At 50.9% G+C, this 25,405-nt stretch overlaps 1 protein-coding gene and 1 long non-coding RNA gene across 2 annotated transcripts in view, besides 9 other annotated features; both read right to left on the bottom strand.

The window, feature by feature from the left end:
* The window catches only part of TALDO1 (transaldolase 1), a 17,549-nt gene extending 3,084 nt beyond the window's left edge, over window positions 1–14,465 (bottom strand). Inside the window, exons 1-4 of the mRNA NM_006755.2 lie at window positions 14,351–14,465; window positions 5,927–6,050; window positions 2,872–2,979; window positions 1,676–1,807 (exon numbers count right to left, since the gene is read on the bottom strand). Of these exons, the coding sequence (NP_006746.1) occupies window positions 1,676–1,807; window positions 2,872–2,979; window positions 5,927–6,050; window positions 14,351–14,447 (461 nt within the window). The 5' untranslated portion in view covers window positions 14,448–14,465. The remainder of the gene's footprint in view (window positions 1–1,675; window positions 1,808–2,871; window positions 2,980–5,926; window positions 6,051–14,350) is intronic.
* Window positions 13,865–13,954: a silencer, noted in NCBI's record as "silent region_3025". NCBI's record gives its function as "represses an Ori minimal core promoter by ATAC-STARR-seq in GM12878 lymphoblastoid cells {active_cell/tissue: GM12878}" and the evidence as "EXISTENCE:reporter gene assay evidence [ECO:0000049][PMID:35858748]".
* Window positions 14,055–14,344: a silencer, noted in NCBI's record as "silent region_3024". NCBI's record gives its function as "represses an Ori minimal core promoter by ATAC-STARR-seq in GM12878 lymphoblastoid cells {active_cell/tissue: GM12878}" and the evidence as "EXISTENCE:reporter gene assay evidence [ECO:0000049][PMID:35858748]".
* Window positions 14,055–15,481: a biological region, named in NCBI's record as "hESC enhancers GRCh37_chr11:746448-747096 and GRCh37_chr11:747097-747745".
* Window positions 14,184–14,832: an enhancer, noted in NCBI's record as "NANOG-H3K27ac-H3K4me1 hESC enhancer chr11:747097-747745 (GRCh37/hg19 assembly coordinates)". NCBI's record gives its function as "activates a minimal SCP1, AML or CMV promoter by ChIP-STARR-seq in naive H9 embryonic stem cells {active_cell/tissue: H9 hESC(naive)}" and the evidence as "EXISTENCE:reporter gene assay evidence [ECO:0000049][PMID:30033119]".
* Window positions 14,405–15,004: a silencer, noted in NCBI's record as "silent region_3023". NCBI's record gives its function as "represses an Ori minimal core promoter by ATAC-STARR-seq in GM12878 lymphoblastoid cells {active_cell/tissue: GM12878}" and the evidence as "EXISTENCE:reporter gene assay evidence [ECO:0000049][PMID:35858748]".
* Window positions 14,833–15,481: an enhancer, noted in NCBI's record as "H3K27ac-H3K4me1 hESC enhancer chr11:746448-747096 (GRCh37/hg19 assembly coordinates)". NCBI's record gives its function as "activates a minimal SCP1, AML or CMV promoter by ChIP-STARR-seq in naive H9 embryonic stem cells {active_cell/tissue: H9 hESC(naive)}" and the evidence as "EXISTENCE:reporter gene assay evidence [ECO:0000049][PMID:30033119]".
* LOC105376509 (uncharacterized) lies at window positions 14,967–25,405 on the bottom strand. Its single transcript, XR_930962.3, has 3 exons — window positions 25,192–25,405; window positions 18,904–18,999; window positions 14,967–15,180 (listed from the first exon to the last, which is right to left on the bottom strand). It is a non-coding gene; the product is annotated as an uncharacterized LOC105376509 (long non-coding RNA).
* Window positions 15,135–15,194: an enhancer, noted in NCBI's record as "active region_4277". NCBI's record gives its function as "activates an Ori minimal core promoter by ATAC-STARR-seq in GM12878 lymphoblastoid cells {active_cell/tissue: GM12878}" and the evidence as "EXISTENCE:reporter gene assay evidence [ECO:0000049][PMID:35858748]".
* Window positions 17,560–18,258: an enhancer, noted in NCBI's record as "OCT4-NANOG-H3K27ac-H3K4me1 hESC enhancer chr11:743671-744369 (GRCh37/hg19 assembly coordinates)". NCBI's record gives its function as "activates a minimal SCP1, AML or CMV promoter by ChIP-STARR-seq in naive and primed H9 embryonic stem cells {active_cell/tissue: H9 hESC(naive and primed)}" and the evidence as "EXISTENCE:reporter gene assay evidence [ECO:0000049][PMID:30033119]".
* Window positions 18,259–18,958: an enhancer, noted in NCBI's record as "NANOG-H3K27ac-H3K4me1 hESC enhancer chr11:742971-743670 (GRCh37/hg19 assembly coordinates)". NCBI's record gives its function as "activates a minimal SCP1, AML or CMV promoter by ChIP-STARR-seq in naive H9 embryonic stem cells {active_cell/tissue: H9 hESC(naive)}" and the evidence as "EXISTENCE:reporter gene assay evidence [ECO:0000049][PMID:30033119]".

Genomic DNA, 25,405 nt, shown 5'->3' with positions numbered 1-25,405 from the left:
TATAATCCCAGCACTTTGGGAGGCCAAGATGGGTAGAGATCTCTTGAGCCCAGGGGTTCGAGACCAGCCTGGGGAACGTGGTGAAATTACCCAGGAGTGGTATGTGTGCTTGTCATCCCAGCCACTTGGGGGACTGAGGTGGAAAGATAGCTTGAGCCTGGAGTCAAGGCTGCAGTGAGCCAAGTTCGTGCCACTGCACTCCAGCCGTGGTGAAAAAGTGAGATGCTATCTCAGAGCAGGTCAGTGATGGCAGGTGGTAGAACATGCAGACACACAGATGTGGAAACAAAACACCTCTTCCTGATGCGAATTATTTGAGTATAGCATTGGCTGCTTCTGGGTGAGAACATCATAGAGGAGTTTTACTTTGTTTTATACATTTTCTGTCTCTTCCACTCTGAACGTACATATGTTTGGTTTGGTTTTTCTGAGACAGGGTCTCACTCTGTCACCCAGGCTGGAGTGCAGTGGTACGATCATAGCTACTGGAACCTCAACTTCCCAGGCTCAAGCGATCCTCCCGCCTCAGCCTCCTAAGTAGCTGGAATCACAGGGGTGGGCTAGTTTTTCTTTTCTTTTTTTTTTTTTTTTTTGAGATGGAGTCTCATTCTGTCACCCAGGCTGGAGTACAATGGTGCAATCTCGGCTCACTGCAACGTCCACCTCCCAGGTTGAAGTGATTCTCCTGCTTCAGCCTCCCATGTAGCTAGGATTACAGGCACCTGCCACCACGCCCAGCTAAATTTTTTGTAGTTTTGGTAGAGACGGGGTTCCACTATCTTGGCCAGCCTGGTCTCGAACTCCTGACCTCAGGTGATCTACCCACCTCAGGCTTCCAGAGTGCTAGGATTACAGGTATGAGCCACCGTGCCCGGCCTAAAAGTTTTCTTTTCTTTTTGAGACAGAGTCTTGCTCTGTCACCCAGACTGGAGTGCAGTGGTGTGATCTCAGCTAACTGCAACCTTCGCCTCCTGGGTTCAAGCAATTCTCCTGCCTCAGCCTCCTAAATGGGACTACAGGTGTGTGCCACCATGCCCGGCTAATTTTTTATATTTTTTAGTGGAGTCGGGGTTTCACCGTGTTAGCCAGGATGGTCTCGATCTCCTGACCTCGTGATCCCCACGCCTCGGCCTCCCAAAGTGCTGGGAGCCACCGTGCCCAGCCTAAAATTTCTTTATATTTTTGTAGAGACAAGGTTTCACTTTGTTGCCCAGGCTGGTCTGGAACTCCTGGGCTCAAGTGATCCTCCCATCTCAGCCTCCCAAATTGCTGGGATTACAGGCATGAGCCATCTTGCCCAGCCAGCATATATTTTATATAACAATAGTTTACTTTTTAAAAATCATGTAAACATAGGCTTGTGTTGATCAGGACAGAGGAAGGACAGAATCTGAATCTGCAGGTGCTAACTAGTGGCTTTTCTTCTCTGCTGAGTGGGTGGATGGTACTTCCTGGGAAATCCCTCATTTCTGATCACCAGCAAGTGAGGGAGCTGGCTCTGGAGCAGAGGGCAGATCTAGGCTGACATGAGCTGGTCAAGTCCAAGCTGTGGGCTGTGCTCCCCAGTCTGGCATTCCCCAGGGCTGAGAGAGTCAAACTTGCCTGATGCCATGTAGACCCTGCTCCAACAGAGGAAAAATCTCTGAGAGCTCCTTCCTTGTGGGGGACCACTTACTTTCCAGCCTGAATTCCTTCCCAGGTTGATGACAGCTTTATAAGAATTCGGTCCTTGCTGATCCCAGCTTCCTTGTAGAGCTCGATGAGCCGCCTGGCTCTGGCCACCATCGCATCTTTATCAAAGGAGAGCCTGTAGGAGCAAGAAGAACCCATCCCCTCAGATCACGCAGGTTGCCCACCACGCAGAGCAAGCTGGAGGCCGGGTGTCTGCCTGTCAGTTTTGAGCAGCACCACCGTGAGCACCAACCACTGCCCTCAACCTTCCCCTCACTGGAGGTTTGCAGAATGGCTCTGACAGCAACTCACACCCAGTCTCACAAACAGAGGTCCTCAGTGGGATCCATAGGCTATAATTTGTATTAAAAAACACTGGGCCAGGTGCCGTGGCTCACGCCTGTAATCCCAACACTTTGGGAGGCTGAGGCGGGAAGATCACAAGGTCAAGGGATCGAGACCATCCTGGCCAACATGGTGAAACCCTGTCGCTACTAAAAATACAAAAAAATTAGCTGGGTATGGTGGCGGGTGTCTGTAGTCCCAGCTACTTGGGAGGCTGAGGCAGGAGAATCGCTTGAACCCGGGAGGTGAAGGTTGCAGTGAGCTGAGATCACACCACTGCACTCTACACTGGCAACAGAGCGAGACTCTGTCTCAAAAAACAAACAAAACAAATCAAAACAAAAAACACTAGCAGCCGGGCACAGTGGCTCATGCCTGTGATCCCAGCACTTTGGGAGGCCGAGGCAGGTGGATCATGACGTCAGGAGTTCAAGACCAGCCTGGCCAAAATGGTCAAACCCCATCTCTATTAAAAATACAACAAATTAGCTGGGCATGGTGGCAGGTGCCTGTAATCTCAGCTACTTGGGAGGCTGAGGCAGAGAAACGCTTCAAGCCGGGAGACAGAGGTTGCAGTGAGCTGAGATTGCGCCACTGTACTCCAGCCTGGGTGACAGTGCGAGACTCCATCTCAAAAATAAATAAAAATAAAAATAAAAAACACTAGAGATCAGTTGCTAAACAAGGAGCTCTTGGTCATCACTACCAACTGTGGGAGAGCTCAAAATAAACCTCCTCTTGGGCCCTTGGGATGAAGACCATGGGTGGAGCAGCCCCTTGACCTCATGTTGGCATCCACGTGTGCAACTGTGGACACCTGACCAGCCCATCCAGTGCAGGAGCAAGCATCCTTACCTTGCGTCTACTTCTGTGGATACTCGGCCCGGAATCTTCTTTAGTATTTCTGCTCCAAACAACACAAAAAGTTTATCAATAGCATTTTTAATCTGGTCCTCTTGTGACCTGAAATTCAAAGGGAAAAAAAGCAGGTTAGAAGCTTCTGAGGTTCGCCAGGTGCGGTGGCTCACGCCTGTAATCCCAGCACTTTGGGAGGCCGAGGTGGGCGGATCATGAGGTCAGGAGATCAAGACCATCCTGGCTAACACGGTGAAACCCCGTCTCCACTAAAAATATTAAAAAATTAGCTGGGCATGGTGGCGGGTGCCTGTAGTCCTAGTTACTAGGGAGGCTGAGGCAGGAGAATGACGTGAACCTGGGAGGTGGAGCTTGCAGTGAGCAGAGATCGTGCCACTGCACTCCAGCCTGAGCGACAGAGCGAGACTCCATCTCAAGAAAAAAAAAAAGAAGCTTCTGAGGTTCAAGTGCACAAGACTCTACAAAATAAATTCTGTTATTTCTTTGCCAAATTTCCTTCCCTCCATCTTTTTTTTTCTCTTAAAACATTTTTTTATTGTGGCCAAATAATACATATAACATAAAATTTCCCATCTTATCCTTTTTTTTTTCCCCCAAGACAGGGTCTCCAGCTAAGGCTGGAAGCACAGTAGTGTGATTATGGCTCATTACAGCCTTGACCTCCCGGGCTCAAGTGATCCTCCTGCCTCAGCCTCCCAAGTAGCTGGGACTACAGCTGCACACCTCTATACCTGGCTAATTTTTTTGTTTTGTTGAGATGGAGTGTCACTCTGTCGCCCAGGCTGGAGTGCAGTGGCACAATCTCGGCTCTGCCAGCTCTGCCCCCCGCGGTTCACGCCATTCTCCTGCCTCAACCTCCTGAGTAGCTGGGACTACAGGCGCCCGCCACTGTGCCCGGCTAATTTTTTTGTATTTTTGGTGGAGACGGGGTTTCACCGTGTTAGCCAGGATGGTCTCGATCTCCTGACCTCGTGATCCGCCTGTCTTGGCCTCTCAAAGTGCTGGGATTACAGGCGTGAGCCACCACGCCTGGCCCATGCCCAGCTAATTTTTATATTTTTTTGTAGAGACAGAGTTTTGCCCTATTGCCTAGACTGTTCTCGAACTCTTAGGCTGAAGGGATCCTCCCATCTTGGCCTACCAAAGCACTGGGGTTACAGGCGTGCACCACTGCCCCCAGCCCACCATTTTAAAATGTATTCAGCACATTCACAGTTCTGTACAACCATCACCATCCATCTCCAGAGCTCTTTTCATCATCCCAAACTGCATCCCTCTATCTTTTGGCACTTGCAAAATATTATATTTTCTATCTCTTCAAAGTTATTGGACAGACACCCAGTGAAGTCCATGATTCTGTTCCAAAATCTGAGCAGCCTTGTTAGCCCACTACACACAGGAAGATCTTCAGCTAGACGCTCAGAGGTTAGAATTCTTGGGCCAGACTGGGTGCAGTGGCTCACGCCTGTAATCACAGCACCCTGGCAGGCCAAGGTGGGCAGACTGCTCAAGCTCAGGAGTTCGAAACCAGCTAGGGCAACATGGTGAAACCCTGCCTCTAAAAACAAATACAAATATTAGCCAGGTGTGGTGGCGTGCACCTGTAGTCCCAGCTACTTGGGAGGCTGAGGTGGGAGGCTGGCTTGAGCCTAGGATGTAGAGGCTGCAGTGAGCTGAGATTGTGACACTGCACTCCAGCCTAGGTGACAGAGCCAAACTCTATCTCAAAAAAAAAAAAAAAAAAAAATTTGGGGCCATCTGGACATGGGTGCAGGGCTCATCTGTTGATCACCCAGCCAAGCAAAGGCACCAATGTCACCCAATAACAGGAGCACCAAGGCCTCACTGATGCCACAGGGGTGCAACACCACGAGATGAGGAAAAGGGAGCTAAGAAGAGAGAGGAGAGGGTCAGACTCAGTGTCCAGAGTGGCTGTCACAACATGGTCAGGGGAGCCACTCACCAGCCACCTGGACCTAAGCAAAGCCAGTACCAGAGAGGGACCTGCTCCTGTGTGGTGCCCACGTTGCCTGCTCGGCACCATCTTCAAGCTTTGAATTATTACCCTGAAGAGAATCTAAAATGACATCTAAAATATGCAAAGCCACAGGCATGAAGAGGGCTCTACAGTTGCTTGGTTGGGTAAGGGAGTGGGGAGCTACTGCAAACAGGTACCAGAGAACATTCTGGGAGTTATAAAAGCTATTAAAAAATTAAAAAGCCAGGCACGGTGGCTCACGTCTGTAATCCGAGCACTGTGGGAGGCCAAGGCAGGTGGATCACTTGAGGTAAGAAGTTCGAGACCGGCCTGGCCAACATGGTGAAACCCTGTCTCCACCAAAAATACAAAAATTATAGCCAGGTGTGATGGCGCATGCCTGTAATCCCAGCTGCTCGGCAGGCTGAGGCAGGAGAATCGCTTGAATCTGGGAGGCAGAGGTTGCGGTGAGCCGAGATTGTGCCAGTGCACTCCAGCCTGGACAACAAAAGCAAAACTCTGTCTCAAAAAAAAAAAAAAAAAAAATACAAAAATGAGCCAGGAGTGGTGGCACACACCTGTAAGCCCAGCTAATTGGGAAGCTGAGGCAGGAGAATTGCTTGCACCAGGGAGGCGGAAGTTGTAGTGAGCCAAGATTGCTCCACTATACTCCAGCCTGGGTGACACAGCGAGACTCCGTCTGAAAAGTAAAAAATAAAATGACAGCCAGAAGGTAAGTGTTACCAGAGCTGGGGAGACTGACTACAGGAGGGGAGGAGGGGCCTGTGGGGGTCTGCAAGTGCTCTGCATCTTGACTGGGGTGGTATTTACAGGGTACACACATTGGCAAAACTCTCTGAACTGCTCATTTACCACAGGTGCAGGTTACTTCATGCAGATTACACTTCAATAAACAAAAATAGGCAAAAAGATAGGGTTTTTTTCCCCCCTTGAGTTCATGGTGTTTGAGAACTAAAATTCAGTTAGGGAGGGAAGCAAGGCCAACTAGACTAGCACGAGGGCCTAGCTGGGACCCTCCCGAGTCCAGGCACTCACCCGCCCAGCTTCCGGCCATAGGCAATCGCCTCCTCCACCAGCTCCTGGTAAGCGGGCATCTGTGCTGCGGCCAGGATCAGGGACGGGTTGGTGGTAGCATCCTGGGGCTTGTACTCGTCGATGGCTAGGGAAATAGTTTTCAAAAGCCAAAGTAAGTGGAGTACTTGCTTCCAACTGGAAACATGTGAAGGAACCCTGTAATTCCCCAGGACGTTAGGGGAGTCCAGAGCATTTCCGAAAGCGGGGTCCAGCCACACTTCTCACACCTTCTTCTGGGTCACTGAAGGTTCATCAAGAGGCGGCTGTTTGCATAATGATGGAACAACAAACACTAAGTGCCCAGCGATCAAATATGCCCCTGCAAGAGGTGACCTGTAACAGCATGGGAGTGAGCGGTGCGACAGCTGGGAGAACGCTGGTCAAAGGAAAATGTGCATCCCACTGCCGTACCACCACAAGGAGGCGCGCGGTCTAGTCATGAGCCACATGTGAACGCTGATCTTATGGACTGGGTCATTATCACCATACCCAGCTGCAACAGAGTCAAGAAGCCAAGGGGAGCTGGGCGCGGCGGCCCACGCCTGTAATCCCAGCACTTTGGGAGGCTGAAGCGGGTGGATCACGAGGTCAGGAGATCAAGACCATCCTGGCTAACACGGTGAAACCCCGTCTCTACTAAAAATACAAAAAACTAGCTGGGTGTGGTGGTCGGCACCTGTAGTCCCAGCTACTCGGGAGGCTGAGGCAGGAGAATGGCTTGAATCCAGTAGGCGGAGCTTGCAGTGAGCCGAGATCGCGCCACTGCACTCCAGCATGGGTGACAGAGTGAGACTCCATCTCAAAAAAAAAAAAAAAAAAAAAAAAAAAGGCCAAGGGGAAAAGCACTCAGGACACACAGCATTGCTCCAAAAATTATTACCTGCAAGCCTAGTTGCTGAAGCGGCCTCTAACCTGAAACCAGTTTATCTAATAGTTGCTGAACCGCACTGCTGCAACTTTAAGACTAATTTTATCCACTGCTATCACTCACCAATCATTCTTTTTAGGTTTCATAGAAAGACTAAATTAGCCAGGTGTGGTAGTGCATGCCTGTAGCGTCAGCTACTCAAGAGGCTGAGGCAGGAGGATCGCTTGAGCCCAGGAGGTTGAGACTGCAGTGAGCCATGATCATGCCACTACACTCCCACCTGGGCCAGAGAGCAAGACCCTATCTCTTAAAAAAATAAATTCAGGCCGGGTGCAGTGGCTCATGCCTGTAATCCCAGCATTTTGGGAGGCTGAGGCTGGTGGATCGCCTGAGGTCAGGAGTTTGAAACCAGCCTGGCCAAAATGGTGAAACCCAGTCTCTACTAAAAATACAAAAATGAGCTGGGTGTGGTGACACATGCCCGTAATCCCAGCTACTCAGGAGGCTGAGGCAAGAGAATCGCTTGAACCCAGGAGGTGGAGGTTGCAATGAGCTGAGATTGCACCACTGCACTCCAGCCTGGGTGACAGAGTGAGACTCTGTTTCATAAATAAATAAGCAAACAAATAAATAAATATCGCATTCAGTAGCTTCTGCAGGTAACTTGACAAAACCTGACCTAAGAATCCTTTTAGTCGGAGTGGACAACTTTGACAATGTCCCAAGTTTTTGTTCAAATTGTACTGGTGGTCCCTTTTATAAAGCTGACATTCTCTGCTTTAATCAACCCAGTCATAAAATGCTACTCAGTGGCTGGGCACAGTGGCTCACACCTGTAATCCCAGCACTTTGGGAGGCCAACGGGGGTGGATCACTTGAGGTCAGGAGTTCGAGACCAGCCTGGCTAACACGGCGAAACCCTGTCCCTACTAAAAATATAAAAATTAGCCAGGCGTGGTGGTGCATGCCTATAATCCCAGCTACTCGGGAGGCTGTGGCAGGAAAATCACTTGGACCCGGGAGGTGGAGGTTGCAGTGAGCCGAGATTGTGCCACTGCACTACAGCCTGGGCAATGGAGCAAGACTCTGTTGCAAAAAAAAATAAAAAAGTTTTTTTCTTCAGAGTAACCAACTAAACAGTTCAAAACGTCCAAACTTGTAGCCACTGAGTAGCTTTTTTTTTTTTTCTGACACAGAGTCTCACTCTGTCATCCAGGCTGGAGTGCAGTAAAATGATCTCGCCTCACTGCAACCTCCTCCTCCAGGGTTCAAGTGATTCTCCTACCTCAGCGTCCTCAGTAGCTGGGACTACAGGCTCACACCATGATGCCTGGCTAATTTTTGTACTTGTATTTATTTTTTATTTTTTTCCGAGACGGAGTCTTGCACTGTTGCCCAGGCTGGAGTGCAGTGGCGCAAGCTCAGCTCACTGCAACCTCCAACTCCCAGGTTCAAGTAATTCTCCTGCCTCAGCCCCATGAGTAGCTGGGATTACAGGCACGAGCCACCACGCCAGGCTATGGTTTTTTGTGTTTTTTTTTTTGTATTTGTATTTTTATTTTTTTGAGACGGAGTCTCGCTCTTTCACCCACGCCGGACTGCAGTGGCGCCATCTCGGCTCACTGCAAGCTCTGCCTCCCGGGTTCACGCCATTCTCCTGCCTCAGCCTCCCGAGTAGCTGGGACTACAGGCGCCCGCCACTGCGGCCGGCTAGTTTTTTGTATTTTTAGTAGAGATGGGGTTTCACCGTGTTAGCCAGGATGGTCTCGATCTCCTGACCTCATGATCCGCCCGCCTCAGCCTCCCAAAGTGCTGGGGTTACAGGTGTGAGCCACCACACCCGGCCTTTTTTTTTTGTATTTTTAGTAGAGACGGGGTTTTGCCATGTTGGCCGGGCTGGTCTCGAACTCCTGACCTCAGGTGATCCACCCACCTTGGCCTCCCAAATTGCTGGGATTACAGACGTGAGCCACTGCGCCCGGCCTCTGAAGAAACAACCTGAACTGCATTCCTCTGCTCTCATACCAGAATAATCAACAGAGAGGACTTCTGTGACCGATGTGTGGGGGTTTCTCCCCACGCACCAAACAAGCAATTAATTCTTCAGTGGATACCAGCTGGGCATCCTCCAATTCAATTCCAACCCTGTCTACCTGGAGACAGCCTCAGATCCCACAGGTTGAAGGCTTAGTCCCAACCAACCATTCTCCATTCCCACCCGTCACAAGTCTGGGCTCCAGAACTTCTGATCCACTGGCTTCAACTTGGGGTTGTCAACTTGAATTAACCTTTGTGTTCCATTAATTTGCTGGAGCAGATCACAGAAGTAAGGGAAACACTCACTTACATGTACTGGCTTATTATACAAAGGACACAGAGGAAGAGATGCATAGGGCAAGGCATGTGAGAAGGGGCACGGTGCCTCCATGCCCACCCTGGGTGCACCACCCTTCAGGAGGCTCCATGTGTTCAGGTATTTGGAAGCTCCCTGAACCCTGTCCTCTTGGGCCTTTTATGGAGACTCTACTGGAGAGACATGACTGAAGTATGGACAGCCCTGTTGAAATATTATCATCTAATGAGTGAGGAAACCCAGCAACGCCTCTGTGTTCACCTTCTTACCGTCCTCCGTGCAACATTCCTTCCTCCAGGGTATGTGATGGGACCCCTTTTGAAATGAGGGTCTTAGGACCCACAATTAGAAAAGCAAGTAGACGGCCGGGCGCGGTGGCTGGTGCCTGTAATCCCAGCACTTTAGGAGGCCGAGGCGGGCAGATCACGAGGTCAGGAGATCCAGACCATCCTGGCTAACACGGTGAAACCCCATCTCTACTAAAAAAAAAAAAAAAATACAAAAAATTAGGTGGGCGTGGTGGCGGGCGCCTGTAGTCCCAGCTACTCTGGAGGCTGAGGCAGAAGAATGGCGTGAACCCGGAAGGTGGAGCTTGCAGTGAGCTGAGATCACGCCACTGACTCCAGCCTGGGCGACAGAGCGAGACTCCGCCTCCAAAAAAAAAGAAAAGAAAAGCAAGTAGATAATTTATTTATGGACAGCTCCAAAACAGGCAGGAAAGATTCCTCCCTTGAAGAGAGAAAGGAACAGGTGAAAGGAGAGGAGAAGGTCAGTGATGGAAATTCTGTTTTCCAAGGCCTGCTCCTGAGGCCTAGAGTGCCCCAACATTATAACAGGGCTGTGGGAGTTATGAGACAGGAACTGTGTACACACACATGCATGCATGCACACACATCAATTACCATCAAAATGAGGTTGATGGTTTATTATTATTATTATTGTTATTTTGAGATGGAGTCTCGCTCTGTCGCCCAGGCTAGAGTGCAGTGGCGTGATCCCGGCTCACTGCAACCTCCGTCTTCCAGGTTCAAGCAATTATCTCGCCTCAGCCTCTCGAGTAGCTGGGATTACAGGCACCTGCCACCATACCCGGCTAATTTTTTGTATTTTTAGTAGAGATGGGGTTTCACCATGTTGGCCAGGCTGGTCTCGATCTCTTGACCTCAGGTGATCCACCCTCCTCGGCCTCCCAAAGTGCTGTGATTACAGGCGTAAGCCACCAGCCAAAAATTTTTTGTAGAGATGTGGTCTCACTGTGTTGCCCAGGCTGGTCCCGAACTGCTAGGCCCAAACAATCCTTCTGCCTCAGCCTCCCAAAGTGCTGGGGATTATACGCATGAGCCACCGAGGCTGGCCCCAACTTTCTCTTGTTCTTTGGACAGATCGAAGACCACCCAGTCTGCTTGAACTGCAATTTTTTCTTCCCAAATAAAACGTTGAATTTAGAGATTCGTCTCTACATTTTATTTTGACTTCAACACAGATACCACATGGTTATCTTCAGCAAGGATTGTTAGCTGGGAGTGGTGGCGCACATCTGTAGTCCCAGCTACTTGGGAGGCTGAGGTGGGGGGATCACCTCAGCCCAGGAGGTCAAGGCTGCAGTTAGCCGTGTTGCACCACGTGATTGCACCACTATACAGCCTGGGTGACAGAGCAAGACCCTGTCTCAAAAAAAACCCCAAAAACAAAAACCCAAGGATTCTTTATTCTTAAAACTATTGTTTCTTTTAACACATTAGTTATTTCTCACATAACCAAGCTAGGAATTCAAAGAAGCCAACGAGGCTTAACCTGGGGTCTTGTTCATCTGGCTGTCCAAATGGAAAGTGGAGGTGAAGAGTTATGGCCATTGACACCCATAGAATGGCCCATTGCTCCAGATTAGCCAGTTCAGTAACTTTTTTTTTTTTCTTTTGAGACAGAGTCTCGCTCTGTCGCCCAGGCTGGAGTGCAGTGGCGCGATCTCGGCTCATTGCAAGCTCCGCCTCCCAGGTTCGCACCATTCTCCTGCCTCAGCCTCCCGAGTAGCTGGGACTACAGGCGCCCGCCACCACGCCCAGATAATTTTTTTGTATTTTTAGTAGAGATGGGGTTTCACCGTGTTAGCCAGGATGGTCTGGATCTCCTGACCTCATGATCGGCCTGCCTCGGCCTCCCAAAGTGCTCGGATTACAGGCTTGAGCCACCACACCCGGCCGAAGTTCACAAGTTCAGTAACTTTATTTGGCAAATAAATATCTTTTTTTTTTTTTGAGACAGGGTCTCACTTTGTCTCCTAAGCTGGAGTGCAGTGGCGCAGTCACAGCTCACTGCTGCCTCAACCTCCTGGGCTTAAGTGATCCTCCCAACTCAGCCTCCTGAGTAGCTAGGACTACGGTGTGCACCAATACGCCTGGCTATTTTTTTTTCTTCCTTTTTGTAGAGATGGGGTTTTACCATGTTGCGCAGGCTGGAATAAGTACTTTCAAAGGGTCCTTTAATGACAAAACTATAGAGGTAGAGAACAGGTTAGAGGTTGCCAAGGAACAGGGAATGAGGGGTCTCTGAGGGACACGGGGATCTCAGTGACAATGGGACAGCTATGTCCTGTCACAGTGGTCCAGGAATTTACACACTTTATGAAACTGTCACATAGCCTCCTTGCCCCAGTGCAGGGGGAAACTGGGGAGCCCTGAGCCAGGCCTGCAGTCTATAACAGCATCAGCACCACAGCAGTGCCCACTTCCCGGTGTGGATGCCATGCCATGGTCACATGAGATGTCACCATGGGGGACAGTGGTTGAAGGGTTCACAGGACTGTATGGGCTGATTTTGCAACTTCTGTGCATCTATACCCATTTCAACATGACAAGTTAAGAAAAAGCCTGTTGTGCATCTATACTCATTTCAACATGACATCTGGCACAGTGCTAACACAGGTCTGCCAGAATGCACTGAATGAGGCACTGAAAACAGCCCATTTCGTCCTGTAAAATCACCCCTGGATAAAGTCAGCTTTTAGCAAATGGCTTTTACAAAATTAAAACAAAACCAAGGCCCATTGGGGCAAAAATGGGTTTCAGGGTCCAGGGATCCTTAAACTGAATGCAAAATGGGGAGGATCACATTGTGGGAAGAGCATTCACAGCTTTGATTCTATTTCCAGAGGCCTGTGCCTCCCTCCCACAAGGAGTTAAGAACCTTCACTTCACAAACTACAGATCACAAACCCAACAGACTATTTTACAACTATATAACATTTATGAACATATACTATCAATGAATGTATTTTTTTGTTAATATTCATTAAAAAAAAATGTCACAACTTGGGTTTAGAAGATTTTTTTTTTTTTTTTTTTGAGACGGAGTTTTGCTCTGTCGCCCAGGCTGGAGTGCAGTGGTGTGATCTTGGCTCACTGCAACCTCCGCCTTCTGGGTTCAGCAATTCTCCTGCCTCAGCCTCCCAAGTAGCTGGGATTACAAGCATGCAACACCGCACCCAGCTAATTTTTGTATTTTTAGTAGAGACGGGGTTTCACCATGTTGGTCAGGCTGGTCTCGAACTCCTGACCTCGTGATCCACCTGCCTCAACCTCCCAAAGTGCTGGGATTACAGGCGTGAGCCACCTCGCTGGGCCAGAAGTTTTCTTAAAAAACAATACAAAACAAAACCAGAAACCCAGGACTCCCCAGCCCTCCTGTGGGTGTGGGTTTAGGAAAATCCATCTTTATTGGCCCTGCACTGCCAAGTGTAATGGACCTGACACTCCGCACCAGCTCTGCCCTAACTGGTGAGGGCCAGTAAGGAACAATACAGATGAGCGCTCTGTCCACCAGGCAAACTGCAAATTATTCTCAGTGCTAAGAAGGGAAAAAACTGAGCAGCAGAAAAATGTGTAGCCCCTTTTCTGGAGCTTTCTTTCTTATGAAGAGAGGTCTGGACTACAACGGGGGGGCTGTGTGTGTGAGGGATTCACAGCTCTAGCTTTGGATCTCCCAAAGAGGGGTCCGGAGCAGACTGTGGCACCCCAAGCCAGTCACTGAATCCCCATATTTTATGGTTAAGCAGCCAAACATGCCAATTCACTCTCTAGGCTCTGCTAGATAAACAATGCCCTTACTCAGTTACCAAAGAGGAATTAAAGCCTGTTTCTCAAGTCACCATGAGAAAGCAGAAAAGAGAGGAAGTCACTTCCGTATTAGGTGCTCGCAGCATTCATCCATGAAGCGTTTCATGATTTTCTTAAAAAATATTACTTGTTCTCAACAAAACATAGACACAAGGCTCGTCTACTCTGCACTGCAGAGGACAGAAGAGCTAAGTATTAATAAATAATCCTTCTTTGTATTTTCCAAGTTCTCTCCAATGTAAACAACTCAAGCCCAGGAAAATCCAGTATTTAACAGTGTACCAACCCTGTGCTTTCATGGGCACCGGCTTTTACCCACCCGGTGCGTCTGGCGGTGGCTGTCCAGCAGGCCGGGCACCTGCCGCCCACGGAGTTGTCCCACTGGGCACCGCAGGGCTCAAGGGCGATGGCAGCACTGGCAGCTTCTGGTCAGAGCTAGCTGATGTCCCCGCTCTGCAGACATCAGCCCAACAAAATTGCATCTCGCTGACCACAAACTGGCCACGTGGAAGTCAGCTCGAAGCTCTACCCTGAATCTCTCCTGAACTCAAAGGCTCTGAAAGCTGCCTCGACCCATGAAGGTGCACAGAGGGGCTCCCGCGGGCTGCCCACAGCCCGTCCCGGGTGCGGGGTCTGAGGGCGCAGCCGACCCCACCCTGGGCGGAGGGCGAGGCTGGGGCTCCGGCTTCGTGCCCCACGGCTCGCAAGGACCCGTCAGTACCGCCCGCACCGCTGACCCCAGCACCGAGCCCCTCACGGCTGACCCCAGCTCCTCACGGCTGCCCCCGGCCCTGCTCCCTCACGGCCGACCCGGGCCCCGTTCCCCTCACGGTCGCCGCTGGCCCTGCGCCTCTCACGGCCGACCCGGGCCCCGCTCCCCTCACGGCTGTCCCTGGCCCCAACATCCGGCACCTGCGCTCATTCCTCCCGGAACGAGCCGCCCGGGGCACCGCCACCCGGTCCGCGTCCCGGAACGGGAGACCCGGGGAAATCGGGGCGCCGGGGCCTCTGGAGGGCGCTTGCGCCGCGCCCGGGCTCCGCGCCGTCCTCACCGTGGAAGTCGCCCGTGTCGGCCACCACGGTGGTGAACTGCTTGAGCTGGTCCAGCGCGGACTCCATCCTCTGACGCTTCACGGGTGAGCTCGACATAGCAAGACCGAGGGGTCTGCGGCGGCGGCGGCGGCGACGGGACGGGCGCGCGGACGGCCCACAATGCCCCGCGGGCGGCTGCCAATCGGAAAGCGGCGCGGGAGGGCGAGGCCCGCTGGTCCCTGCGCGCCTGGACGAAGCCCCGCCCCCGGGGACGAAGCCCGAGCGCCACTGCCGGCCGCGCACCGCAGCTGCGGATCCTACAGGCTGGGTCTCCCCAGGTCCTCAGCAGCCGCCGCGGACGGGCCCGGGAAAACACCTGCACGACACGGGGCGGCTGGGCCTCGCCTCCTTCCTGCCCCGCGGGACGCACCGGGAGGGCTGGAGGAGATGGACCTGGCCCGGGTGCCGACTCTGCGGGGCTGAACCCGCCAGGGCCGAACCCGGCGATGCAGGATCCATGGTGGGGCCAGGACTGGGGTCGGGGGCCGCTGCAGGAAGCAGGGGAGGGAGCGGCGGGGGACGCCCTGCGGGTGCAGGAGGCAGAGCAGGGGGCGGCTGCAGAGCCCGGGCGCCGGACGCGGCGGGGAACCTGCTTCTGGGAATCTGTTCCCCTGAGTCCTAAGCCCAGAGGTGTCCGGGGGACCGAACGGCGAGGCAGGCGTAGGAGGCCCAGCTGCCCTGCTTCTTACCATCGCTGACTTGCAGAGTTCCTTGTATATTCTGATCAAGTCTCTGTCGCTTGTGTCTGCGTTGCAGACACTGTAACCGCCCCATGGGTTCGCCTTGCCAGCTGCCGGGACAGAGTCTATTGTCAAGACAGGGGAATTGCAATAGAGAAAGCATAATTCACACAGAGCCGATTGTTCGGGAGACCAGAGTTTTATTCCTCAAATCAGTCTCCCCAAAACTCGGGGATCCCAGTATTTAAGAATAATTTGGTGGGTAGGGGGCCAGTGAGTCAGAAGTGCTGACTGGTCAGCTAGGGATGAAATCACAGGGAGTCGAAGCTGTCCGCTTATGCTGAGTCAGTCCCTGGGTAGAGGCCACACAACTGGTTGGCAGGTCCAGGTGGGGCCATCCGGTTGTCAGAAATGCAAAAACCTGAAAAGACTTTTTTTTTTTTTTGAGACGGAATCTCGCCCTTGTTGCCCAGGCTGGAGTGCAGTGGCGCGATCTTGGCTAACTACAACCTCCGCCTCCCGGGTTCGAGCGATTTTCCTGCCTCAGCCTCCCGAGTAGCTGGAATTACAGGCGCTCACCACCACGCCCGGCTAATTTTTGTATTTTTAGTACAGACGGGGTTTCATCATGTTGGCCAGCATGGTCTCGATCTCCTGACCTCGTGATCCGCCCACCTCAGTCTCCCAAAGTGCTGGGATTCCAGGCGTGAGCCACCGCGCCCGGCGGAAAAGACTTCTTAAAAGGCAAATCCTAGGCTGACGCGGTGGCTCAGGCCTGGAATCCCAGCACATTGAAAGGCCAAAGCAGGCGATCACTTGAGGTCAGGAGTTGGAGACCAGCGTGGCCAACATGCAAAACCCCGTCTCTACTAAAAATACAAAATTAGCCAGGCGTGGTGGCACATGGCTGTAATCCCAGCTACTTGGGAGGCTGAGGCAGGAGAATGGCTTGAACCTGGGAGGTGGAGGTTGCAGTGAGCCGAGATTGTCCCTCTGTACACTAACCTGGGCTACAGAACGAGACTCCATTTAAAAAAAAAAAAAAGGCCAACCCTAGGTTCACAGTAGTGTTGATATCTTGGGGAAGTTGCAAATCTTATCTTATGACCTCCAGAATAATGGCTGATAATATTTAGACTTCCAGCCCCTCTCATTCTAACTTGGTGGCTGGTGGCCTTTCATTCATTTTACAAGAACAGTCTAGTTTTGGGGAAGGGCTATTATTTAAACTATAAATTAAATTCCTTCCCAAGACTTGTTTGGCCTATGGCCAGTAATGGACAAGGACCGTTTGAAGGTTAGAAACAAGATGGAATTGGTTAAGTCTGTTATCTTTCACTGTCATAATTTCCTTAGTTATAATTTTGCAAAGGTGGTTTCAATACTTCCTCTCAGCATGTGTTCCCTTTTCATTTTAATAGTGTCTTTAATGAACGTTAGCTTTTTATTTTGATTAAGTTCAATTTATCAAGTTTTAATTTTATATTTACTCCTCTTTTTTGGTATCTTCTCTAAGGAGTCTTTGCTTGCTCCAAAGTGACAAATTTTTTTTTTTTTCTGGTGAGATGGAGATTTACTCTTGTTGCCCAGGCTGGAGTGCAATGGCGCGATCTCAGCTCACCGCATCCTCCGCCTCCCAGGTTCAAGCGATTCTCCTGCCTCAGCCTCCCGAGTAGCTGGGATTACAGGCATGGGCCACCATGCCCGGCTACTTTTGTATTTTTAGTAGAGACGGGGTTTCACCGTGTTGCCCAGGCTGATCTCAAACTCCTGACCTCGTGTTCCACCTGCCTCGGCCTCCCAAAGTGCTGGGATTACAGGTGTTAAGCAACTGCGCCCGGCCAACGCCCAGCTAACTTTTGTATTTTTAGTAGAGACAGAGTTTCACCGTGTTAGCCAGGATGGTCTCAATCTCCTGACCTCGTGATCCGCCCACCCTAGTCTCCCAAAGTGCTGGGATTATAGGCGTGAGTCACCACGCCCAGCCAACAAAAATATTTTTTTTTTTTTTTTTTTTTGAGACGGAGTCTCGCTGTCGCCCAGGCTGGAGTGCAGTGGCGCAATCTCGGCTCACTGCAGGCTCCGCCCCCTGGGGTTCACGCCATTCTCCTGCCTCAGCCTCCCGAGTAGCTGGGATTACAGGCACCCGCCACCTCGCCCGGCTAAATTTTTTGTATTTTTAGTAGAGACGGGGTTTCATCGTGTTAGCCAGGATGGTCTCGATCTCCTGACCTCGTGATCCGCCCGCCTCGGCCTCCCAAAGTGCTGGGATTACAGGCGTGAGCCACCGCGCCCGGCCTCAAAAATATTTTCTTATGATGTCTTGGTTTTCAGCTGTTATGTTAAGAGTCTTTGAGGCCACTCCAGTTTGTTTGTTTTTTTTTTGTTGTTTTTTTTTTTTTGAGACGGAGTCTCCCTCTGTCGCCCAGGCTGGAGTGCAGTGGCACGATCTCGGCTCACTGCAAGCTCCGCCTCCCAGGTTCATGACATTGTCTTGCCTCAGCCTCCCGAGTAGCTGGGACTACAGGCGCCCACTACCACGCCCGGCTAATTTTTTGTATTTTTAGTAGAGACGGGGTTTCACATGAGCCACCGCACAGGGCCCCCTTGATTTTTGTCTCTGTGACCTAGAAGTGGAAGGTAGTTTTTCTCTACCGCGCCTGGCCCCCTTTATTTTTGTCTCCGTGACCTGGATATGGAAAGTAGTTTTTCTCCACCTGTTCCAGCATCTGTTGAGAGGACTTTCTTCTCTCCATTGAAATGCAAAAATAGGAAATATACATCACAGAAGAAGGTATAGAGCAGGTAGCCATCTTTTGTCTTCCCTTGCCACACTGGAAGAACTGTCTTGGGCCACATGTAAAATATACTAACAATAACTGATGAGCTTAAAAAAAATTGCAAATAAAAAATCTCATGTTCTAAGAAAGGTTGCGAATTCGTGTTGGGCCACATGCGGCCTGCAGGCCAAGGGCTGGACAAGCTTGGTGGTATACAGTATTTATTAGGGAAATGCAAATGAAAACCACCATGAGATCTGTCCACATGGATCATAGTGAGAACAAAAGACTGGCAACACCAAGTGCCAGTGAGGACATGGAGCTCCAGGAACACCCATGCGCTGCTGGTGGGAATGAAAGTGGAACAAAGGCTGGGTACGGTGGCTCGCGCCTGTAATCCCAGCACTTTGGGAGGTCGAGACAGGTGATCACCTGTGGTCAGGAGTTCGAGACCAGCCTGGCCAACATGGTGAAACCCCGTCTTTACTAAAAATACAAAAATTAGGCTGGGTGCAGTGGCTCACGCCTGTAATCGCAGCTCTTTGGGAGGCCGGGGCAGGCAGATCACGAGGTCAGGAGATCGAGACTATCCTGGCTAACACAGTGAAACCCTGTCTCTACTAAATATACAAAAAATTAGCCGGGCATGGTGGCAGGTGCCTGTAGTCCCAGCTACTCGGGAGGCTGAGGCAGGAGAATGGCATGAACCTGAGAGGCAGAGCTTGCAGTGAGCCGAGATCGCGCCACTGCACTCCAGCCTGGGCGACAGAGCGAGACTCCATCTCAAAAAAAAAAAAAAAAAAAAAAAAAAAATTAGCCAGGCATCGTGGCATGTGCCTGTAGTCCCAGCTACTAGGGAAGCTGAGGCAGGAGGATTGCTTGAACCTGGGGGGCGGAGGTTGCAGTGAGCCAAGATTGCGCTACTGCACTCCAGCCTGGGCAACAGAGCGAGACTCCACCTCAAAAAAAAAAAAGAAAGAAAAAAGAAAGTGGAACAAAATGAGCTGTGGAAAATTGTCCTATGGTTTCTCATAAACTTAAGCATGTACTTACCATGGGAACTGGCAGTTCCACTCCTCAATAAAAAGTTCTCCACAAGAAGATTGGCACACAGATCCTCATAGTGGCTTTATTGACAAAAGGTCCAAACTGGAAACAACCCAAATGTCCATCAGCAGGAGAATGGGCCAAACTGCAGCCCCTCCACAAAGTGGAGCACTACCCACCATACAAAGGGAGCACTGCCCACCATAGAAAGGGAGCACTGCCTACCATACAAAGGGGAGCAGCCCCTCCACAAAGGAGAGCACTACCCACTATACAAAGGGATCACTGCCCACTATACAAAGTGGAGCACTACCCACCAAAGGGAGCACTGCCCACCATACAAAGTGGAGCACTACCCACCATACAAAGGGAACAGCCCCTCCACAAAGGGAGCACCGCCCACTATACAAAGGGGAGCAGCCCCTCCACAAAGTGGAGCACTGTCCACCATACAAAGGGATTCAGCCTCTCCACAAAGGGGAACATTGCCCACTATACAAAGGGATGGCCCCCAAGGGATGTGGTGAGTGAAAGAAGGCCCACATACACACAGAATGTGGCAGCTCACACCTGCATTCCCAGTGCTTTGGAGCCCAAGGTGTCAGAGATGTTTGAACCAGAGCAAATCCATCTTGAATAGAGGTGGGGTAAAATGAGTCTGAGACATGCTGGGCTGCATTCCCAGGAGGTCAGGCATTCTTAGTCATTGGATGAGATAGGAAGTCAGCACAAGATACAGGTCACAAAGACCTTGCTGATAAAACAAGTCATGATAAAGAAGTCTAACCCTACCAAAACCAAGATGGTGATGAAAGTGACCTCTGGTCGGCTGGGCGTGGTGGCTCACGCCTGTAATCCCAGCTCTTTGGGAGGCCAAGGCAGGCGGATCACCAGGTCAGGAGATCGAGACCATCCTGGCTAATACAGTGAAACCCTGTCTCTACTAAAAATACAAAAAATTAGCCAGGCGAGGTGGCAGGCACCCGTAGTCCCAGCTACTGGGGAGGCTGAGGCAGGAGAATGGCGTGAACCCGGGAGGCGGAGCTTGCAGTGAGCCCAGATCACGCCACTGCATTCCAGCCTGGGCAACAGAGCAAGACTCCGTCTCGGAAAAAAAAGAAAAAAAAAAAGTGACCTCTGGTCGTCCTCACTGCTCATTATGAGCTAATGATAATGCATTAGCATGCTAAGAGACACTCCCACTAGGGCCATGAGAGTTTACAAATGCCATGGCAATGTCAGAAAGTTACTCTATATAATCTAAAAGAGGAGGAACCCTCAGTTCTGGGAACTACCCACCCCTTTCCTGGAAAACTCATGAATAATCCACCCCTTGTTTAGCATATAATAAAGAAAGAACCGTAAGTATGCTCAGTAGAACAGCCTATGCCCCAGGCCCCTGCTCTGCCTATGGAGTAGACATCCTTCAGTTTCTTTACTTCTCTGATAAACTTTTCTATTTATTCTTTTTTCTTTTTTTTTTTTTTTTTTGAGATGGAGTCTTGTTCTTGTTGTTCAGGCTGGAGTGCAATGGCACGATCTCGGCTCCCCTCAACCTCTTCCTCCTGGGTTCAGGCGATTCTCCTGCCTCAGCCTCCCAAGTACCTGGGACTGCAGGCACACACCACAACACCCGGTTGATTTTTGTATTTTTAGTAGAGACGAGGTTTCACCATGTTAGCCAAACTGGTCTCGAGCTCCTGACCTTAGGTGATCCACCCGCCTCAGCCTCCCAAAGTGCTGGGATTACAGGCGTGAGCCACCGCGCCTGGCCTGATAAACTTGTTTTCACATTATGGACTTGCCTTGAACTCTTTTTTTTTTTTTTTGGTTTGAGATGGAGTTTTGCTCCTGTTGCCCAGGCTGGAGTGCAATGGCGTGATCTCAGCTCACCGCAACTTCTGCCTCCCAGGTTCAGGTGATTCTCCTGCCTCAGCCTCTCAAGTAGCTGGGGTTACAGGCATGCACCACCAAACTCAGCTAATTTTGTATTTTTAGTAGAGACGGGGTTTTCCCATGTTGGTCAGGCTGGTCTCGAACCCTCGACCTCAGATGATTTGCCCGCCTCGGCCTCCCAAAGTGCTGGGATTATAGGCGTGAGCCACCATGGCCAGCTTTTTTTTTGAGACAGAGTTTCGCTCTGTCTCGCAGGCTGGAGTGCAGTGGCATGATCTTGGCTCACTGCAGCCTTCGCCTCCCGGGTTCAAGTGGGTCTCCTCTCTCAGTCTCCCAAGTAGCTGGGATTACAGGTGCCCACTACCACACTGGGCTAATTTTTTTTTTTTGGAGGGGGGACAGTTTCATTCTGTTGCCCAGGCTGGAGTACAGTGGCACGATCTTGGCTCACTGCAACCTCTACCTCCCAGGTTCAAGCTGTTCTCCTTTCTCAGCCTCTCAAGTAGCTGGGATTACAGGTGTCTGCCACCATGCCCGGCTAATTTTTGTTTTGTTTTTTTTTTGTTTGTTTGTTTTTTGAGATGGAGTCTCGCTCTGTCGCCCAGGCTGGAATGCAGTGGCGTGAACTCAGCTCACTGCAAGCTCCGCCTCCTGGGTTCACGCCATTCTCCTGCCTCAGCCTCCTGAGTAGCTGGGACTACAGGCGCCCACCACCACGCCTGGCTAATTTTTTTTGTATTTTTTTTAGTAGAGACAGGGTTTCACCATGTTAGCCAGGAGGGTCTCGATCTCCTGACCTCATGATCCGCCCGCCTCGGCCTCCCAAAGTGCTGGGATTACAGGCATGAGCCACCGCGCCCGGCCTAATTTTTGTATTTTTAGTAGAGATGGGTTTTTACCATGTTGGCCAGGCTGGTTTCGAACTCCTGACCTTGTGATCTGCCTGCCTTGGCCTCCCAAAGTGCTGGGCTTACAGATGGGAGCCACCACGCCCAGCCATGGCCAGCCAAATTTTTGTATTTTTAGTAAAGGCAGGGTTTCACCATGTTGGCCATGCTGGTCTCAAATTCCTGACCTCAGGCAATCTGCCCACTTTGGCCTCCCAAAGTGCTGAGATTACGGGTATAAGTCACCAAGCACACCAAAGTGGGCAGATCACGAGGTCAGGAGTTTGAGACCAGCCTGACCAACATGGTGAAACCCCATCTGTACTAAAAATACAAAAATTAGCTGGGCATGGTGGCGGGCACCTGTAATCCCAGCTACTTGGAAAGCTGAGGCAGGAGAATCTCTTGAACCGGGGAGGCAGAGGTTGGAGTGAGCTGAGATCGAGCCACTGCACTCCAGCCCTGGGCGACAGAACGAGACTCCCATCTCAAAAAAAAAAAAAAAAAGAAGTAAAAAAGGAAGGGAATTCTGACATAGGCTACAACACGGATGGACCTTGAGGATATTACACTGAGTGAAACAAGCCAGTCCAGAAAGGACAAGCACCGTGCGATTCAGTCATCTGAGGTCCGGAGAGTGGTCCCATAGAGGCAGAAAGCAGAATGGTGGGTGCCAGGGACTGGAGGAGGGAAATGGGGAGTCGGTGTTTTATGAGGACAGAGTTTCAGTTTTGCAAGATGAGAAAGTTCTGGAGACAGTAGTGATGATGGCTGTACAACATTATGAGTATACTTAATCCTGTGATATTCTGATAAATTAGATAATGGATATAGACAGAGTGACAGATATAGATTACAATGACATAGATACATAGGCAGGTAGATTGATACACAGAGATAAGTAGATATAGATAGATACAGATTAGATAGATCGATCAATCCACGTATCGATAGAGGTGTATATATAGCTTTTAGAGACGAGGTCTCACTATGTTGCCCTGGCTGGTCTTGAAATCCTGAGCTCAGCCGGGCGGGGCAGCTCATGTCTATAATCCCAGCACTTTGGGAAGCTGAGGAGGGCGGATCACCTGAGGTCAGGAGTTCGAGACCAGCCTGGCCAAAATGATGAAATCACGTCTCTACCAAAATACAAAATTAGCCAGGCGTGGTGGCAGGCGCCTGTAATCCCAGCTACTCAGGAGGCTGAGGCAGGAGAATCGCTTGAACCCGGGAGTCAGAGGTTGCAGTGAGCCAAGATCGCACCACTGTACTCCAGCCTGGGCAACAGAGCAAGACTCCGTCTCAAAAAAAAAAAAAAAAAAATCCTGAGCTTAAGTGATCCTCCCGCCTCAGCCTCCTAAAGTGCTGGGATTAAGGTGTGAGCCAGTGCACCCAGCCCCACAGAGGTTTTCATGCAGGGTTCCTGCCTCCTACCTCCCACAGCTCGTTACAGTCTCTTGTTATAATGTTGAGGCGCTTTAAGCCTTTAGAAGCAAAATTTCTCTCTGCCCTCCTGTCTCTGGCTCCTCTTTCTCCCATAGAAACCAGAACCACTTTTCCCCAAAGCCAGCCAAAAAACCTAAAAATAGGCAGGTTGCAGTGGCTCACGCCTGTAATCCCAACACTTTGGGAGGCCAAGGCAGGCGGATCACCTGAGGTCAGGAGTTCAAGACCAGCCTGGCCAACATGGTGAAACCCAGTCTCTACTAAAAATACAAAAAAATTATCTGGGCACAGTGGCTCACGCCTGTAATCCCAGCTACTTGAGAGGCTGAGGCAGGAGAATCGCTTGAACCCGGCAGGCGCAGGTTGCAGTGAGCTGAGATCACACCACTGCACTCCAATCTGGGCAACAGAGCAAGACTCTGTCTCAAAAAGAAAAAACAAACAAACAAACAAAAAACTAAAAATAGGACTCTAACCTCCCCTTGCCTGTCTTGGAGATGGCCATAAATAAATTCTCTGACCTTCCTTGTCTGACTGTGGGTCACAAGACCCACATTTCTGAAGGGGCCCTGCCCCACACCCCAGGGGAAGGAATGCCGCACAGAGAAGCCGGGAAGAATCTGCACAGACAGGCCCTGCTGGGTTTAGATCACACCCTTTTGGTCCAGTCCCATTTGTACACAGCTGTCAATCATGCCTATCCAATGAAGTCTCCACAAAAGACCCAGGAGGACAGGGTTTGGGGAACGTCCAGATAACTGAACACATGGGGCCGACAGGAAGGTGAACAGGAACTCCTCTATGTGCAGGGAGGGTGGAGCACCCCAACTCCACGGCGACGGAAGCTCCTGCTCTCGGGGCCCTTCCAGACCCCACCTTGTGCGTTTCTTCATCGGGCTGTCTTTCTATGCTTTTAAATATTCTTTGTGATAAATCGGTAAAAGTGTTTCCCTGAGTTCTGTGAGCCTCTCTAGCAAATTAATCAAGCCCAAAGAGGGCGGTGGTGGGAACCCCAATTTAATGCCATTTGGTGACACCTTCCAGAGGCCTGGACTCACGACTGGTGGGAAGTGTGGGGCAGTCTTGTGGGACTGAGCCCCCAGCCTGTGGATCTGGGGCTAACTGCAGGTAGACAGCCTCAGAAGCGAACTGAAAGGGAGAACACCCAGCCGGTGTCTGTGGCAAAGCTGAGGGCTTGCTCGGTGTGCGGGAGACACAGCTGACTGCCTGCTCCGTGTGCAGGAAAAACGGAGCTGGCCGCTTGCTGGGTGTGCGGGGAGAAACAGAACTCCTCTGTGTCTGTTGCAAAGCTGGCTGCTTGCTTGGTGTGCGGGAGAAACAGAAGTTCTCTGTGCTGATTATTACTGTGCAGTGAGACCAGAGGGAACACGGTTTGAGTTTTTCCACTTTCTCAATGCCACTGAACTGTTCAATTGAAAATGGTTAAGATGGTAAATTTTCCTTGTGTTTTTTTTTTTTTTTAATTTTCCTTGTTCTTGACAGCCAGTTTTGGGGGGAAAAAAAGATGGAGCCGGGTGCAGTGACTCGCGCCTGTAATCCCAGCACTTTGGGAGGTGGAGACTGGGAAGATCCCTTGAACCCAGGAGGTCGAGGCTGCAGTGAACCCCAATTGCCCCACTGCACTCCAGCCTGGGCAACAGAGCGAGACGCTGTCTCAAAAACAAAACACAACAGGCTGGGCGCGGTGGCTCCCGCCTGTAATCCCAGCACTTTGGGAGGCCGAGGCGGGCAGATCACAAGGTCAGGAGATCGAGACCATCCTGGCTAACACAGTAAAACCCCGTCTCTACTAAAAATACAAAAAAAAAAATCAGCCGGGCGTGGTGGCGGGCGCCTGCAGTCCCAGCTACTCGGGAGGCCGAGGCAGGAGAATGGCGTGAACCCGGGAGGCGGAGCTTGCAGTGAGCCGAGATCGCGCCACTGCACTCCAGCCTGGGCGACAGAGCGAGACTCCGCCTCAAAAACAAAACAAAACAAAACAAAACAAAACAAAACCAAAAACAATGATGGACCATTGAGCTGTGGAACATATCAGGAAACTTACCCAGGACGATGAGGTTGTGAGTGACTTATTTTGGGAACTTCCTGACAGTCGTTGCCTAGGACCTGTGAGCGGACAGCACAGCTGGGCTCAGTCTCCAGACTCACTCCAAACCCTTCTTATGTCCATCAGTCCCGAACCACTTCCGTCCCAAACATGCCCAATCCTAACGAAGCCTCCTGAAGACTCACCTGAAGCCACACCCCAAAACCTTCCA

The sequence above is a fragment of the Homo sapiens genome, chromosome 11 (assembly GCF_000001405.40).
Source record: "Homo sapiens chromosome 11, GRCh38.p14 Primary Assembly".
In the NCBI taxonomy this organism is placed as follows: Eukaryota; Metazoa; Chordata; class Mammalia; order Primates; family Hominidae; genus Homo; species Homo sapiens.
Note: the sequence above shows the minus strand (reverse complement) of the source record. Positions and strands in the feature narration are given on the sequence as shown.